Raw genomic sequence first — 15,206 nt, forward strand, 5'->3', positions numbered from 1 at the left:
ACGCCAGCAGCAGATCAATTTACCGTAGCACAAGGTGTCTCTGTCCCAAGGTTTGTGTACTTGCATTTGCGGCAAGTCCAGTCATATATTACACATCTCCTCTGGCTGTAACTGGAGACCGTCAAGGTACAATAGTGCTGAAAGAAGTGTACTTTTCCAGCCAGGGAATTTGTAACAGATCCTGCTTCATCTTGCATCGCCATACAAAGTACCTCCATTCCATCCTTCCTAAAAGTGCTTCAGTGACTGAAAGTGGAAAAAGTGGAGCAGAATAGAGCTTGTATGCCTCAGAGATTCCAGCCATCCAACAGTCCTAACTCAATGTAATTTAAATCTTGCATGTTTTTACTTTTAAAAAAATTTGGCAACTCTAAAAAAGTTTACCAGAAAATAGTGTATCTGCGAATTTTCACTAGTTTCCTTCAAGAAGCTAGGATTTTCGTAGACTGAATACATTAAATATTGAGATTTAATAAAATTAATTTTGCTGATACAAAGGAAAAGTGAAAGAAAAAGTGAGACAGAATACTACAATTCTCTCTTTCAGTGATAAGTAAATGGTAACAAAAGTCATCTGTACAAATTCACAGAATATGATGTCATAAAGATGGGTCATCAAAATGCTTTTCAGTGATCCATTCAATAAGATGTCCCATCATGAGGGTTTGAGTAGCGAATAGGAAAGGAAGTTGTGAGGCTTCCTCCTTCGATGGGAGCCCCTCAGCACCTGAGAGGCAGAGGGCTGGGCGGGGAATGCTGATACTTTCCTTGTCAATTACGAGGCTGGCTTCCCCTTCATGATTAAAGAGCAGAAAGGGGCAAATCAGATAGCTCATGGCTTAAGTCGTTTGCATTATGTGTAGGTTTCAATTTTCCATGGTTCCCATTCTCGTAGACGTTAGACAGCTACGCTTTAATCTTTTCCTTGGCAGCTTTAATCTCTCTCCACTCAGCCATTTCTAAATTGGGGATAACATCAATACCGTAAGGATTAGCTAAGCATATCTGTAAGTACGTGACAATCACTGTAGGCTGTTTTTTATAACGTGACTTCAAAACCGAATCTGTTACGGAGTTGCTCAAGTTAACCATCTCCCGATAATGAGTTGTTTATGGAGGTGAAGATGAACAACCCAGATGCTTTGCAATGGTGGCGTTAGAAAAATATTTTATTAAATTTTTCCCTATTATCCTGGAGGAATATGTCACACAACAAAATATGGAGAGAGAGGAAGAGAAAAAAAAAGAAATGGAAAGTATTTTAATTGATCAGGAGTTCAAGACTAGCCTGGCTGATACAACAAGACCCTGTCTCTGAAAAAACAAAGAAGGACGAAGTAGAAAGTATATTTCTGAGAAGATACAGGTTATAGAGATCCTCAGTTCACAAAGCAATGGATATTTACTTTTCCACTATACAGCCCTATCAGCCGACCACAACGCTGGTTTGCTATTTTTAGCCAGTTCTTTTCTGCAGGATGTCTGCAAGCCTTCCGGGATTTCAAAGCGATCCTTCCAGTCTTCTTCAAAAGGAGTAGTCTTGCATTCCCCAACATTTCCAGTATCAACACTCTTCAGCACCTTCACCTCCAGAGATTCCTTTATTCAGACTGCCCTGCTATTGGAGCTGCCTGTTACAGGAACACTGCCAATCACGTAAGCCACACAATTGTTAAAACACTGGCTCACATTGGGAAAACAGGAGTTGTTCATTTCATGGAAAGCATTCTTCATCTGATGAATGGATTTGGTTATCAACATAGTCCTTTCATTGGTGAGCCCCTGATTTATTTACACTTGCCACAGCTCTAATCAGGCACATGGTAGCTGTGTATGGTGAAGCACTGGCTTTCAGGAGAATTCTTTTAGCTTTAACAGTCGTGGTTAGCATAACTATGTGGTTATCTTCTACTGTAAAAAATAATTCTAGGACATAAATTTGATTAACTTCTGGAAGGTTGTTGATAACAGTGGTCCTCTCCCCTTCCTCTCTCTGTCCCAGCCCCTCATTGGAGTGCATCACTCAGAATGATTTCTAGTGCACTAAGGGAGAACACACTGGGCAGAGCAGCCCTGGGTCTTGGCTCTGGCTTTGGCACTGAGCAAGTCTCTGAACCCTCCCCATCCCTGATCCTTCATGGAAGGTTCCTTCCAGCTCTTATAACTCACATTCATAGGAACGAATCATGGAATTGAGCCTCAGAAATGAATCCTATTTCAGGAACTTTTCTCATTTCTTCTGGAACGCATCAGGTTTGCATAACCTATGTTTTTTATTGAGAGTGATATGACATTCTGCTTTCCTTCTTGTTTTATCATTTGTAATTAATGACAGCTATTGGCCCAATTTCTCCTTCATGAAATTACAGCGATTATCATTTCCTTTCCATTTTCTTAGAAAATCTTTTGTAGACTTTCTGTATTTCTTAACATTCAGCAATTGTTATAGTTCGCAGAGTGCTTTATGGATTACAGAATGGTTTCATTTAGCTTTTCCTTTAAAAATTGACATGCTCATATGGCAGATATTATTATTCTCATTTCTAGGGGAGGAGAGGAAGACCTAGGAAATATAGTAACCCAGTTTAGTTTCCTTGCTAGTAAACTGAGGGAACTGAAACTGAAAATTCATATCGTTTGACTCCTAACTCAAGTAGTTAGGACTGTCAAGTTAGATACAAACCCTGAACGAAGCTTTCTAAGAGGCCTTTGGGAAAGCTATTTAATCTCTCTGAGCTTCAGTTCTCTCCTCTGTAGAATGGGAAGAATACTGGCTAAGTGTCAGTGAGGTTAAGAGCATTAAAGGGGATAATCTGTATGGGGGGAGCCCCACACAGAGTCCAGCAGATAATGAGCAGACACTCCACAAAGGTGAGTGTCTTGTCCCATCTTCTTCTATAGTCTTCCTTGTCTCTGTTGTGGTCAACCTTGGATCTATGCTGCTTATGCTGGAAAAGTACGCCCTGCCTCCTTTCCTGAGTAACTTATTCTTTGGGATCAGTCATATAATACTTAAAAAGAATTATTTTAGAGATGGGGTCTTGCTTTGTCACCCAGGCTGGAGTGCAGTGGTGCCATCATTACTCACTGCTCCTGGGCTCAAGTGATCCTCCTGCCTCAGCCTCCTGAGCAGCTGGGACTGCAGACATGCCACCATGCTTGGCTAAGTTTCTTTTTTTTAATTTTTTTTTTTTGTAGAGACAGGACTTTGGTATGTTGCCCAGGCTGGTCTCCAGCTCCTGGCCTCAAGCAATCTTCCTGCCTCTGCCTCCCAAAGCTCTGGGATTTGTGAACCACCGTGCCTGGCCAATTTTTCTATAGACCTTTGTATACCAAATTTGTGAAACTCCACTTGCAATCTGATTGGCAATGAGCATTCGTTTGCACGTGATGATTACTCTGGAAGTGTAAGCTCTACCCCCTACATTTGTAAATGAAAAAGACACAAAAGGAGAGAAACACTTCTACACGACCTCCTTCCTTAGATACAGTATCAGGGTTCTAACATTAACTTCTTACATTTAAAAAAAAATTCTGAAATTTATTTAAAAGAACTAAAGAAGAAAAATATGTCTCTTATTTCCTTGGATACTTTCCTGAATACTAAAATCAGTTAATTTTCAAGACAAGAATTGTTAAAAGACGCTCAATCAATAAATGACCATTCCTTTGCGATGTGTATTACTCCACTAGAATGGAAGCAGCATGAAAGCAGATATCTGTCTCATCTGTTTTGCTCTTTATCTCCAGGTGGTACAGCAGAGCCAGGAACCCAGGAGGTCACAGTCAATATTTGTGACATGAATGAATGAGTGAAATGAGTACATGAACAGGTTGAGTGGTCTGTGAGTGTGAGGATAGATATACAGAGGTACAGAAGATGCTCTCCTGCCTTCAGGGAGCTTGCAGTCAGCCTCAAGAGACACAATTTACAAGAAAAGACGAGTAGTCCACACTGCCAGGGAGTGAGTGGGTGGTGTCCATTAGAGCACAAGGAGGGAGCCTGCCTTAGAAGTTTGGGGAAGCAAAAGTTCACCGTGGGGCCAGAAACCTCACTTCGTTATAGGAGTTAATAAGAAATTATTTTAGGCAGATACGAAAAAGGGTCCTTGCCAAGTTTTTGTTTCTTTTAAAGTAGCTCAAGAAACATTTCTTGCCTAGCAGAAAAGCCCCCACCGGCAAGCTTTGATATGCAAATGTACGCCATTAGAAACTGGGTCCACCCAAACAAGGCAATACCCGCTGTCTTTTCCTGGTGCCCACAAGTGCCTGGCAACATGGCTGCCCCACATAACCCCACGTGTGTAGAACATCATGGCGCCCTGCATTTGCATATTAAAAGACTAGGGTGGGAGGGCCAGTTATTTCACGGGCTATGTGAATGACATGCCTGGTCAAACCAATCCCCTGTGCCCTATGCAAATCAGACACCGCCTCCTCCAGACTCCTCATATAAGCAGCCACTTTGCTGCCGCACAGCGAGTTTTCTCTTTGTTCCAATCCCCACTCCCTCCGTCTCTATACTGGGGAGCTGTTTTCTTCTTCCTTCCTTCTTTCTTGCCTATTAAACTTTTCGCTCCATGAAACCACTCCATGTGTGTCCGTGTCATTAATCCTATCGGCGTGAGACCAAGAACCCTGGTGTTCCTCCAGTCATCCGAGTCGTATCAACTTGTTCCCACCCCAAAAATCACTCTGACAAGGCTTTTCAGTGAATACACGCAGCATTAAAACAATGGCCATATTCAAGCCAAAAAGTTGCCACTGATTGAGTTTATATGAATGTTGAGACCAAAAACACAAAAACAGCTTGCCATGATATAAGACAATGGTTTTGTTTGCATCTATGACATTCTCATTGTTATATTATTACTTAATATTCTGATAAACTGTGTGATTTGCTGAGGCCACTTTGGACTTTTTCCCTAAAACAGTCATTCTTCTTTTTGAGAATATATCCTCTAATGCCACTGGTCCTTAAATATGTACATGTACAGCTGGGTTTAAAATTGATAAACGCATTGTCTTAGAGTCCTAGCCCTAGAGGCAGAATAGGATGTGGTGGGTGGTCAGAATTATAATTAGTGCAAGAAAGGGACACATTTTACAAAATAGCACATTTTTTTTCTAATTTTAAGGATGAAAGTACTCAATGGATAACTGAAAAACACAGAAATATATTTTTAAAACGCATCTCCCCCCAGAGAGAACCATTATAACTTTTGCTTGCATTCTTAGTGTCATAGTCGCATATTCAAAATATGTATGAGACGCGTATATTTGTTCATGTCTATTTAAAAAGATACATTTTGGAAATATATGATGATGACTGTTAAATGTCAGACATTATTTACTCACTCTACACATTTCGCTGAGTGACAACTGTCAGCATCTGCACTGTATCGGTAGGCATGGGGGAGGTGGCTGGAGAAGAAAGCACACAAGATTACCTCCTCTCAGAGTTACGATCCCATGGGTCAAGCAGGTATTAGGCCCAAATGAAATTTTAATTACAAAACATATATGCAATATAGAGTCCGGGTGCAGGGTGACAGGGCGCTATAAGAAAGAACTAACTAGGGACTCAATCCATATCACAGAGCATAGAAGTCTCCTCTGGCAAGACAGGACTTAAGCTGAGAGGTCAAAGATAAGAAGGCAATTTCTTTGATGGAAGGGAGGAGCGCTGTGTGGGAGCGAAGGATTCCAGACACAGGGAACAGCACACACAGACTCGGAGGAGCCACACTACCCTTCCTGGAGTGCAGACAGCGAGGTGGAGAGTAAGCTGAAACAGAGCTGGAGAGCAAGGACTGCGCTATAACCGCGCTATGTGCCAGGCTTGGGATCTCACGTGAAACAAATGGAGGACCTGATGGCTTTTAAGCACAGGAGTGGGCGTGGTCTAATTTGCATTTTGAAAATGACTGCCCTGGCTGCAATGCCAAGAGGGCCGTGGTAAGAGGCTACAGCATAGTTTCCAGGCAAGAAGGCATGGTCTCTCGAACTAGCGTGGTGGCGGCACGGGTAGAGGAAAGTGGATGAGTTTAGGCTGAGTCCTGGAGGCGGTGCCTTGTCGCCTACAGACTATGGGGCTGTATTAGGGAGACAAAAAAGGAGATAGGGGAATTGGACAATTTTTGGTATCTGGCATGATCATCTCGGAGGTGATGGAAACACTCATATATAAATGATGGGAGGACATCTAGTTGGAAAGCGTTTCGTTTTGGACGTGTTGATTTGAAATGTTCAAGTTGTGGTTTTGTTTTTTTTTTAATGGCAATGTAGAATTCTATTATAAAAGCCAATTTTTAAAACACAAGTATACTACTTCTGGAGCACAGTTTGTTTATATTTTATATTAGTATAATTTAAATATTGTTCTGATAAACATCCTTATAGATTTACCTTTGCCCATATCTCTGTTTACTTAGGAAACATGCGAGGTTAATTGACATATTTAAAAGCTTTTTGATGTGGCACAAGGATCTTTATTTCTAAGAAAGTGACTTTCATCATCACTTTAGAGCACACGGGCTCCCCTTACAGACTCATCCATTGCTGACCCTGACATTAATTCTATCAACTAATCCTAATCACAAATAAGCAATCCTTAACCAGCAGAAGAAACCTAGGATAGCTCTATATAAGCCACAAGCCAAGGAAAAGTTGAACAAAGAGGATTTTACGGTTCTTTACTTTCCTCCTTCTTATTGAACTGCCATGCTATTATAAAATCAAGTCAATTTTATATGTGATATATATGAAATATGATACCACATATTATATAATATATATTACACATTGTCATATATATGTGAATATTATATGTATATAAAATATATTCTTACATACAACAATACATTTACATACATAAGGTATACATATTATATATAATATTATACATATTATATATGTGTATATATAATTTTTGTTTGGTTTTCCTAACTTATAAAAAAATTTTGAGCACTCAGTCCTTTTTTTTATTTTTTATTTTACTTTAAGTTCTGGGATACATGTGCAGAACATGTAGGTTTGGTACATAAGTATACACATGCCATGGCGGTTTGCTGCACCTATCAATCTGTCACCTAGGTTTTAAGCCCCACATGCATTAGGTATTTGTCCTAATGCTCTCCCTCCCCTTGCCCCCCACCCCCTGACAGGCCCCTGTGTGATATTCCACTCCCCGTGTCCATGTATGCTCATTGTTCAACTCCCAGTTATGAGTGAGGACATGTGGTATTTGGTTTTCTGTTCCTGTGTTAGTTTGCTGAGAGAGCACTCAGTTCTTAACCAAAGGCTCCTAATTAAGTATTAGTCAAAATTCCATTACATCTTAATTTGAAAACTACATATATTTAGTTACAAAATAAAAGCCCAATTACTTCAATTACCTATATTGATGAAATAAAGTTAAGTTTATATGTCATTTCTACTATTCTTTCCTTAAGTGGTTTAATTTGTCAAATATGTCATCTTTTCCCAAAAATGAATCTTGATTAATTTTGACAGTTTTTCTTTTCAAAGCCCTTATAGGTACTGTTGTTATATGGTGAACACTCAAGGGATACACAAGTCCTATCATTTTCATCACCAACACGGACTTCTGATTTGTTTTATTTGATATGTCACCTTGTTGATTTAACATAAATTGTTTTATTTTCTTAATTTCTGAAAAATACTCATATTGCTGGTTTGTTTTCACTGAAGGCCTCCTGTCCATTTTTTCCCTTCTGCTTTATCAAAAAGGACTGAGGTCTCAAATGACCCATGAGAATATTTAAGTCACTTATAGAGGGCAAGAAGAAGCATAGAAAAAAAAATATTTCTGGCTGGGGGCAGTGGCTCACACCTGTAATTTCATCACTTTGGGGGACCAAAGTGGAAGGATTCCTTGAGCCAAGGAGTTCAATACCAGCCTGGGCAACATAGAGAGATCCTGTCTCTATAAAAAATAAAAATTATTTGGGAGTGGTGGTATGTGCCTGTGGTCCCAGCTCATTGGGAGGCTGAGGCGGGAGGATCACTTGAGCCCAGGAGTCTGAGGCTGCAGTGAGCTATGACCCTGTTGTTGCACTCCAGCCTGAGTGGCAGAGCAAGACCCCATCTCAAAAAGAAAAAAAGAAAACATATTTCTTCTTTGTCTAACTCCCTGAACAAAGAGAAAAACTACTTTATAGACAGGTCTTGAGCACTGCGGGAGAGTCAGGCACGTGGGGCCCCAGTATCTCATGGATTTCATGTATAAGAAGCTTCTTCTTCTTTTTTTTGAGACGGAGTTTTGCTCTGTTGCCCAGGCTGGAGTGCAGTGGCGCGATCTTGGCTCACTGCAAGCTCTGCCTCCTGGGTTCATGCCATTCTCCTGCCTCATCCTCCCGAGTAGCTGGGACTACAGGCGCCTGCCACCACGCCTGGCTAATTATTTTGTATTTTTAGTAGAGACGGGGTTTCACCGTGTTAGCCAGGATGGTCTTGATCTCCTGACCTCGTGATCCGCCCACCTCGGCCTCCTAAAGTGCTGGGATTCCAGGCGTGAGCCACCGCGCCTGGCCAAGAAGGTTCTTCTTTCCAGCTTTCTTCAGGGATCATGCAGGTATCTTCAAAGTCTAAGATGCTAGGAAGTCATGGGCACTGTGTTGAAATAGAGGGCGTATGCCTTACATAAACACATCCAAACTCTTATGGTAACAAACTGTGCTGGCCAAAGGAAAAACTACTGTCATTCAGGCCACGAGTTTGCAACTCCTGGTTTATCACAATTATAGTGATATTCCTTTAAACTAAACATTTGGATGTAATCTTTTTCCACCTATAGAAAGAGAAATCACCCTTATAACAGTGGTTTTAAAACTTTAGTTTACACAAGAATCCTATGACGAGCTTGTTACCACTGTGGGTTCCTGGGCAGCACCTCACAAGATTTCTGGGTCTGCAAGTCTGGGATAAACATCTCTGAGACAGGTGACCCAGGCTTCCACAAGCGCTGAAGGAATTTGGATTCATTCCAACCAGTTAACACTCAGAGGGTGTCAATCCAGTTCTGAGAAACTTCAAGAAATCAACCTCACATGATGTAGAAAGATTCAATCTGTAAATCATCATAGCTCTTCTTTCCAAAGTCTTTTATAATTGAGTTTAAAGCAGAGTACAAGCAAATATCTCATTTGTATGATCCATCAAAGGTCAATTGTTTTCATTATGATAGCAAAGAGGTTTTATTTGTTGTTTTTTGTTGGGTTTTTTTTTTTTTTTTGAGACAGAGTCTCACTCTGTTGCTAGACTGGAGTGCAGTGGTGCAATCTCGACTCACTGACTCACTGGAACCTCCGCCTCCCGGGTTCAAGAGATTCTCCTGCCTCAGCCTCCCGAATAGCTGGGACTACAGGCATGCACCACCACGCCCAGCTGATTTTTGTATTTTTAGTAGAGTTGGGGTTTCACCATGTTGGCCAGGATGGTCTCGATCTCTTGACCTCGTGATCCACCTGCCTTGGCCCCTCAAAGTGCTGGGATTACAGGCATGAGCCACTGTGCCTGGCCGCAAAGAGATTTTTAAAAGCCTGATTTTGGGCGTGTGTGACACTATGGGTTGAATCTCATATTCTGCTATTGACGGGGATGAACTTGGGCAGTTTATTTCACTCTCAAGCCTCAGCTCAGCCATGGATAAAATGGAGATAAGAAAAGAAATGACTGCACGATGTGGTTGTGAGGAGTCAATGAGGCAATGTACAGAAAGCACTTACCATGCATGGCACACACGAGGGCAGAACAAATGTGTGTTATCTTTGTCACTACTTTTCTACAAGAATCAGAACAGGATGCTAACAACATATGAAACTGATAATTCTGCACTTGTTTTCAGGGATATTTTAAATGGTCACCTCCTCATCCCCCAAACATAACAAGAAAACCCCATAGAATTACAGTTTTTATTACTTTATGTTAGTGAATAAAACTTGTATCTCTATTATAACACTAGGATAGAGGTTTTTTTGTTTTGTTTTGTTTTGTTTTGTTTGAGATGGAGTCTCACTGTCTCCCAGGCTGGAGTGCAGTGGTGCGATCTCGGCTCACTGCAAGCTCCACCACCCGGGTTCACGCTATTCTCCTGCCTCAGCCTCCCGAGTAGCTGGGACTACAGGCGACCGCCACCACCACGCCCGGCTAATTTTTTGTATTTTTTAGTACAGACAGGGTTTCACCGTGTTAGCCAGGATGGTCTCGATCTCCTGACCTCGTGATCCGCCTGCCTCGGCCTCCCAAAGTGCTGGGATTACAGGTGTGAGCCACTGCTCCCGGCCCTGGATAGAGTTTTAAACTGGGGGATTTTGAATCCTTTCAGCTCTCTCTGTTTTGATAAGATATTTCTCCTTATCACTATCTTATGTTATTCTGAAGGTGTAACTCATGAAATATGATCTGTCCCCTCCTCCAATGCTATCCACTTGTTTCCAAGCAATGAAAAATCATAGTTTCTATATTCTTCTTATAAAATAAAAAGAAGCAGAATTCTGTGATGGAAAAAGTAATAATGACTTGTATACGAATTCTGTGGATTTTTACTTCTCCCTTAATTAATGCATCAATGCTACATATTTTTATAAAACACTAAGTCCCTGTGAAATGTATGTGCCTCTAAAAACTCAATGCATTGATATACCTACCCTATTGAAATGGATAATTTCATTAATAGTAAGTTAGAGAATGCTGATTAAATGAAGAAAACACATGAATATATTTAAAGTGATGATATCTTCACTTTTTATGGTATAATTATAAGTATATGAACAATTCTACACAGAATTACATACATTATGATCACATTAGATAATTTATCATTATGATTCATCATTTTTATGCTAAACAGAGAAGGAAAAAGGAAGCAAGACAATAAGGAGGGTATGGGGGAAAATGAGAAGGAAGAGGAGAATCCATCTACTAGCAAATGTTTATTGACCAACTACTATATACTCATGATTTCAGGAGCCAAGGAGAAAAGTTTTACCTTGGAAAAGCTTATGGTCTAATTATAATAACTCTTTTACTGCTAGAGAAAAAAATATTCATGACACTTGTTAAGGACACACAGATTTTATGAGGGGGGACACCACAAGGAGGTTTGTAGTTGGGAAGAGTGACTGAGCTCAACTCCAACTACAAGGACGAGCGGAGACTGATGGCCAAGAAGCAGGCTGCGGGTGAGCAGATGGAAAATTACTAAGTGGGAACATCAAGGCCGGGGGTTATTACTAGGCTGACTCAAAAATAATCTTGTTGAAGGCAGGCCAGGGTGATAAGATACCAAGGCTAGGGGATGAGGCATTTGATCAGGTACCAAGGGGGATCAGACCCCAAGTGCAGGGGACTTTCATTAAACTGACGCAGCAGGATTCTTGCTGAAATTAGACTAAATGGGCCAAGGACAGACCAGAGTGAGGTTAGGGAGAGAGTCACTGTCAATACAAAAAATAAAGAAAAGAAAGAAAGAAAAAGACAGGAGAGGCAGAGACAGACAGACACACACACATGCACACATGCAGAAAGAGAAGAAAGATAACAAGGACATGTAAGTAAATGGTCTAGCCTCTAAGTTTACAGGAGTTAAGAGAAAGTGAGTAAAAGTGTGTGGAAAAGAATTCTTATATGAGATTGCCCTAGAGTACATCTTAAGGGAAGAACCTGTCTCTCTCTCTCTCTCTCTCTCTCTATATATATATATATAGATAGATATAGATATAGATACAGATATATATTTAGTGTGTGTGTTTATTATATATTTATTTATATATGTGTGTGTTTATTATATACACATAATAAACACACACCTTGGTAAACCACTTGGAGGAAGGGGCCCCAAGATCATGAGGAAATGAGCTGACTCAGAAGCAGCTGAACAGCAATGCTTGCGGGATTAGGAGGCATTTGTCAGAGGGGCAGCTACGAAGGGGGCAGTGGAGGGAAAAAAGGATGGATCCCCTGATATACTGAAGAAATCTTGCAAAGGACAGTGGAGGGTAGAGAGTAGGGTGTTAAGTCAACTTTTAATAACCACACACGGTTTTGACATGTCCACTGCTGCTTGTCTGCAAGCAGAAGTGGCGTGATTCGATGATAGTCTTACTTCTGGATGGCAAGGATGATTTTTTGGCCAGACAATACTGTTATCATTAACAACAACAAAATCCCCACACATTAAGTACTGGGTTGGCTGAAAACAGACCTATACCAAATCAACACCTCACCATTAAGGAGCTAAGCCTACCGCACGGCATTTTCTCTTTAGCCAGAGCCAAGATTTTATGAGAAAATATGAAGAGAACAGAGAGTTGCCGGAATGCAATGTCACTGCATTGCAGGGCTGTATTTGTTGGCAAGCATCTGAGACCAGCCTCTGCAAACTGCTGTAGGCAGGGCCTGGCCTAAAGCGGATGAGCCCCCCTGGGGCTCGGTTGCCCTGGCCACACCATGATCCTTCTCTATGACTTACCCTCTGAAGAAAACACAGCTTTTCCTAGCAGCTAAAAAACAGTTTCTCTAGACTTTTATCTTCCATGATAAATGCAGATGTTTAAGGGTCATTTTGTAAATTATCCTTCTACAATGTTTTCAGTTCTCAATAATCAACTACTTGATACTCACGAGAAAAGCAGAATTCTTCTTAAGCCTTCTGATTCAAAATGCTTCTCCTAAAAATGTCTTCCTCTGCTAATAAAGTGTTTCACATCATTACAACACGGAGAAAACATGTAGATCCCAGGCAGTCCAGGCTATGATGAATATCTCCAGCTTTTCAGAAAGACAAAGTTGATTCCACATCACTGTGACTCCTAATGACCAGTTGTCTCAAGGGAGGTCTGAGTCACAGTCCCAGCAGTGTCTCCAAAGGCAGTACGGTGCTCATGGATAATTACAGTTTCATATGTTGGTAAAAACACAATCCACCCAGTGATCTCATGTCTACTCGAACGTTACAGCAGTTCTAGAGTATCGCTGTAGAATCATCGTGAACTGTGGTATTTTGCAGTAACCATTAAAGTACAACAGTGTTTGAATCATCTGTGGGTCTATTCGTCTGCTTGGGCTGTGATAACAAAGTACCACAGACAGGATGGCTTAAACATCCTGTGAGAAATGCATCCTGTGAGAAATGCATTATCTCACAGTTCTGAAGGCTGGAAGCCTGAGATCAAGGTTATAGCAGACTGGTTCCTTCTGAGGCTGTGCGGGAGAGTCTGTTGCTTGCCTTTCCCCTTGCTGGCCGTCTTTGGCTTCCTTGGCTTGTAGACGCATCACCTGGATCTCTGCCTTCATCTTTGCACGGTATTCCCCTTGCGCGTGTGTCCATGTCCAAACTTCCCCTTTTTATAAACAAGGACACCACTTATATTGGATCAAATGCCCACCCCACTCCAAAATGACCTAATCTTACCTAATCTGTTAATTTACCAGCCACTCATTTCCCAAAAAAAGTCACATACGTAGGTACTGGAGGTTAAGACTTCAGAATATGAATTGGAAAGGAAACAGAATTTAGCCAATATCAGTGGCATTTCAGTGAAAGTAGGCCACCTGATATGAAGACCCTTCTTGAAAAGATTACAGAGCTTAGGAACATAAGTTGACCTCCAACTGGCTTTAAAGTCTCTCTATAGATGGCCTGCTAAGCTGCACACTTTCCAGAGACTGTGGTTTTGTTCTCAATCAAAAGTCTTTCCTTCAAAGCATTTTTCCCCATAGGAAAAAATAAAATCTTTAGGGAAGACACATCCGTCAACTTTTCCCAGTAGGTTTCATTTAAAGTCCCTCTCTGGTTGGCACTTTTGCTGACTGATTTCTCTTTTAACCCTCATGTCTTTTCCCGCATGCCATTGTTGGATAATATAGCAATTCGAACACTGTTTGAATAACAATCTAGAGGACAAGAGCCTTTCCTGCTTTCATTCATTTATTCATTCCACAGATGATTTTCAGAACCGCTCTTCATGGCGTGACCTCTGTAAGCCCTTCAGGATAAAACATGAATAAGGCACTGTCCCTGCCACGCAAAGGCTTGCACTCACCAGTGAAACAGAATGAAGACACCCTTCTAGAATAAAGGCATCCAATTTGCTTTTGTTTAGAAAACTCTCACCCTTCCACAAAGCAATATGAGATTTTACATATTAAAGAACAAAAAAATTTTGGTCAATCACGGTGGCTCACACCTGTAATCCCAGCACTTTGGGAGGCCGAGACAGGTGGATCACCTGAGGTCAGGAGTTCGACACCAGCCTGGCCAACATGAGGAAACCCCAGCTCTACTAAAAATACAAAAAACAACAACAACAACAACAACAAATTAGCCAGACATGGTGGCGGGCCCCTGTAATTCCAGCTACGTGGGAGGTTGAGGCAAGAGAATCGCTTGAACCCGGGAGGCGGAGGCTGCAGTGAGCTGAGGTTGCACCACTGGACTCCAGCCTGGGCAACAGTGAGACTCCATCTCAAAAAAAAAAAAAAAATGAGAGAGAAATCAAGGCAGTTGCTGACATTCAACTCTAATCAGATACTCAAGACGGGGTCTGTCTTTCTAAACACTGTTCTGTGGCCCCCTCTGTGCATCCCTAGACTGCTCAAGGAGAAGATGCTTGATCATGGCTCTTCGGGATAGTTTGTTACTGAGTCAGGTCGCTTCTCCATAATTTGCACTTTAGGTGTTTTGGATAGTACCTTCTATGTATGAAATATGTTCTGCCTTTCTGTTCCAAGTCAAATCATTACAGATATCAAAATCAGCCAACAATCAAGGCTAATGTAGCTCTTTCCCCAGTTCTTAAGAAAAATCCAAAGAAACACAGTTTGTACCCACAAACCAATAGGCAATGTATCAGTTAGTAAAACCCGATCCAAATTCAATAACTGAGAAGTTTTTCTGGTCCTTAAGGCACAAGGGGTTCAATCCCAAGTATCTACTATTTCCACAAGCTTCTGTCCCACCATAAAGGGGCTGAGTCTCAGCTATCAATACCACATTTTAAATTTATTATTTTATGCTTAAATATCACTTATCTGTAACAAGAAACTCAAAACTAAGCCATGGGAGATAACACGTTTAAGAGACTCCTTGACTTTTGCATCAGTTTTCTCTGCCCCCATAAGCTTGTTGAGATATAAAGCAAGATAATGGCAAACACAAAAATGTCTCTCACTATGTCCCAGCA

At 41.1% G+C, this 15,206-nt stretch overlaps 1 protein-coding gene across 10 annotated transcripts in view; it reads right to left on the reverse strand.

Moving 5' to 3' along the window:
• Nucleotides 1-15,206, reverse strand: part of SORBS2 (sorbin and SH3 domain containing 2) — a 370,850-nt gene that overhangs the window by 334,768 nt on the left and 20,876 nt on the right. For 2 of the 10 annotated variants that reach the window (NM_001394266.1, NM_001394268.1), the window contains exon 1: nt 12,646-12,838. The exons of the other annotated variants lie outside the window; for them this stretch is intronic. The gene's annotated coding sequence lies outside the window, so the exon portion shown is untranslated. Of the gene's footprint in view, nt 1-12,645; nt 12,839-15,206 lie in introns of those variants that run through there. 10 annotated transcript variants of the gene reach the window in all.

The sequence above is a fragment of the Homo sapiens genome, chromosome 4 (genome assembly GCF_000001405.40).
Source record: "Homo sapiens chromosome 4, GRCh38.p14 Primary Assembly".
Lineage (NCBI taxonomy): Eukaryota > Metazoa > Chordata > Mammalia > Primates > Hominidae > Homo > Homo sapiens.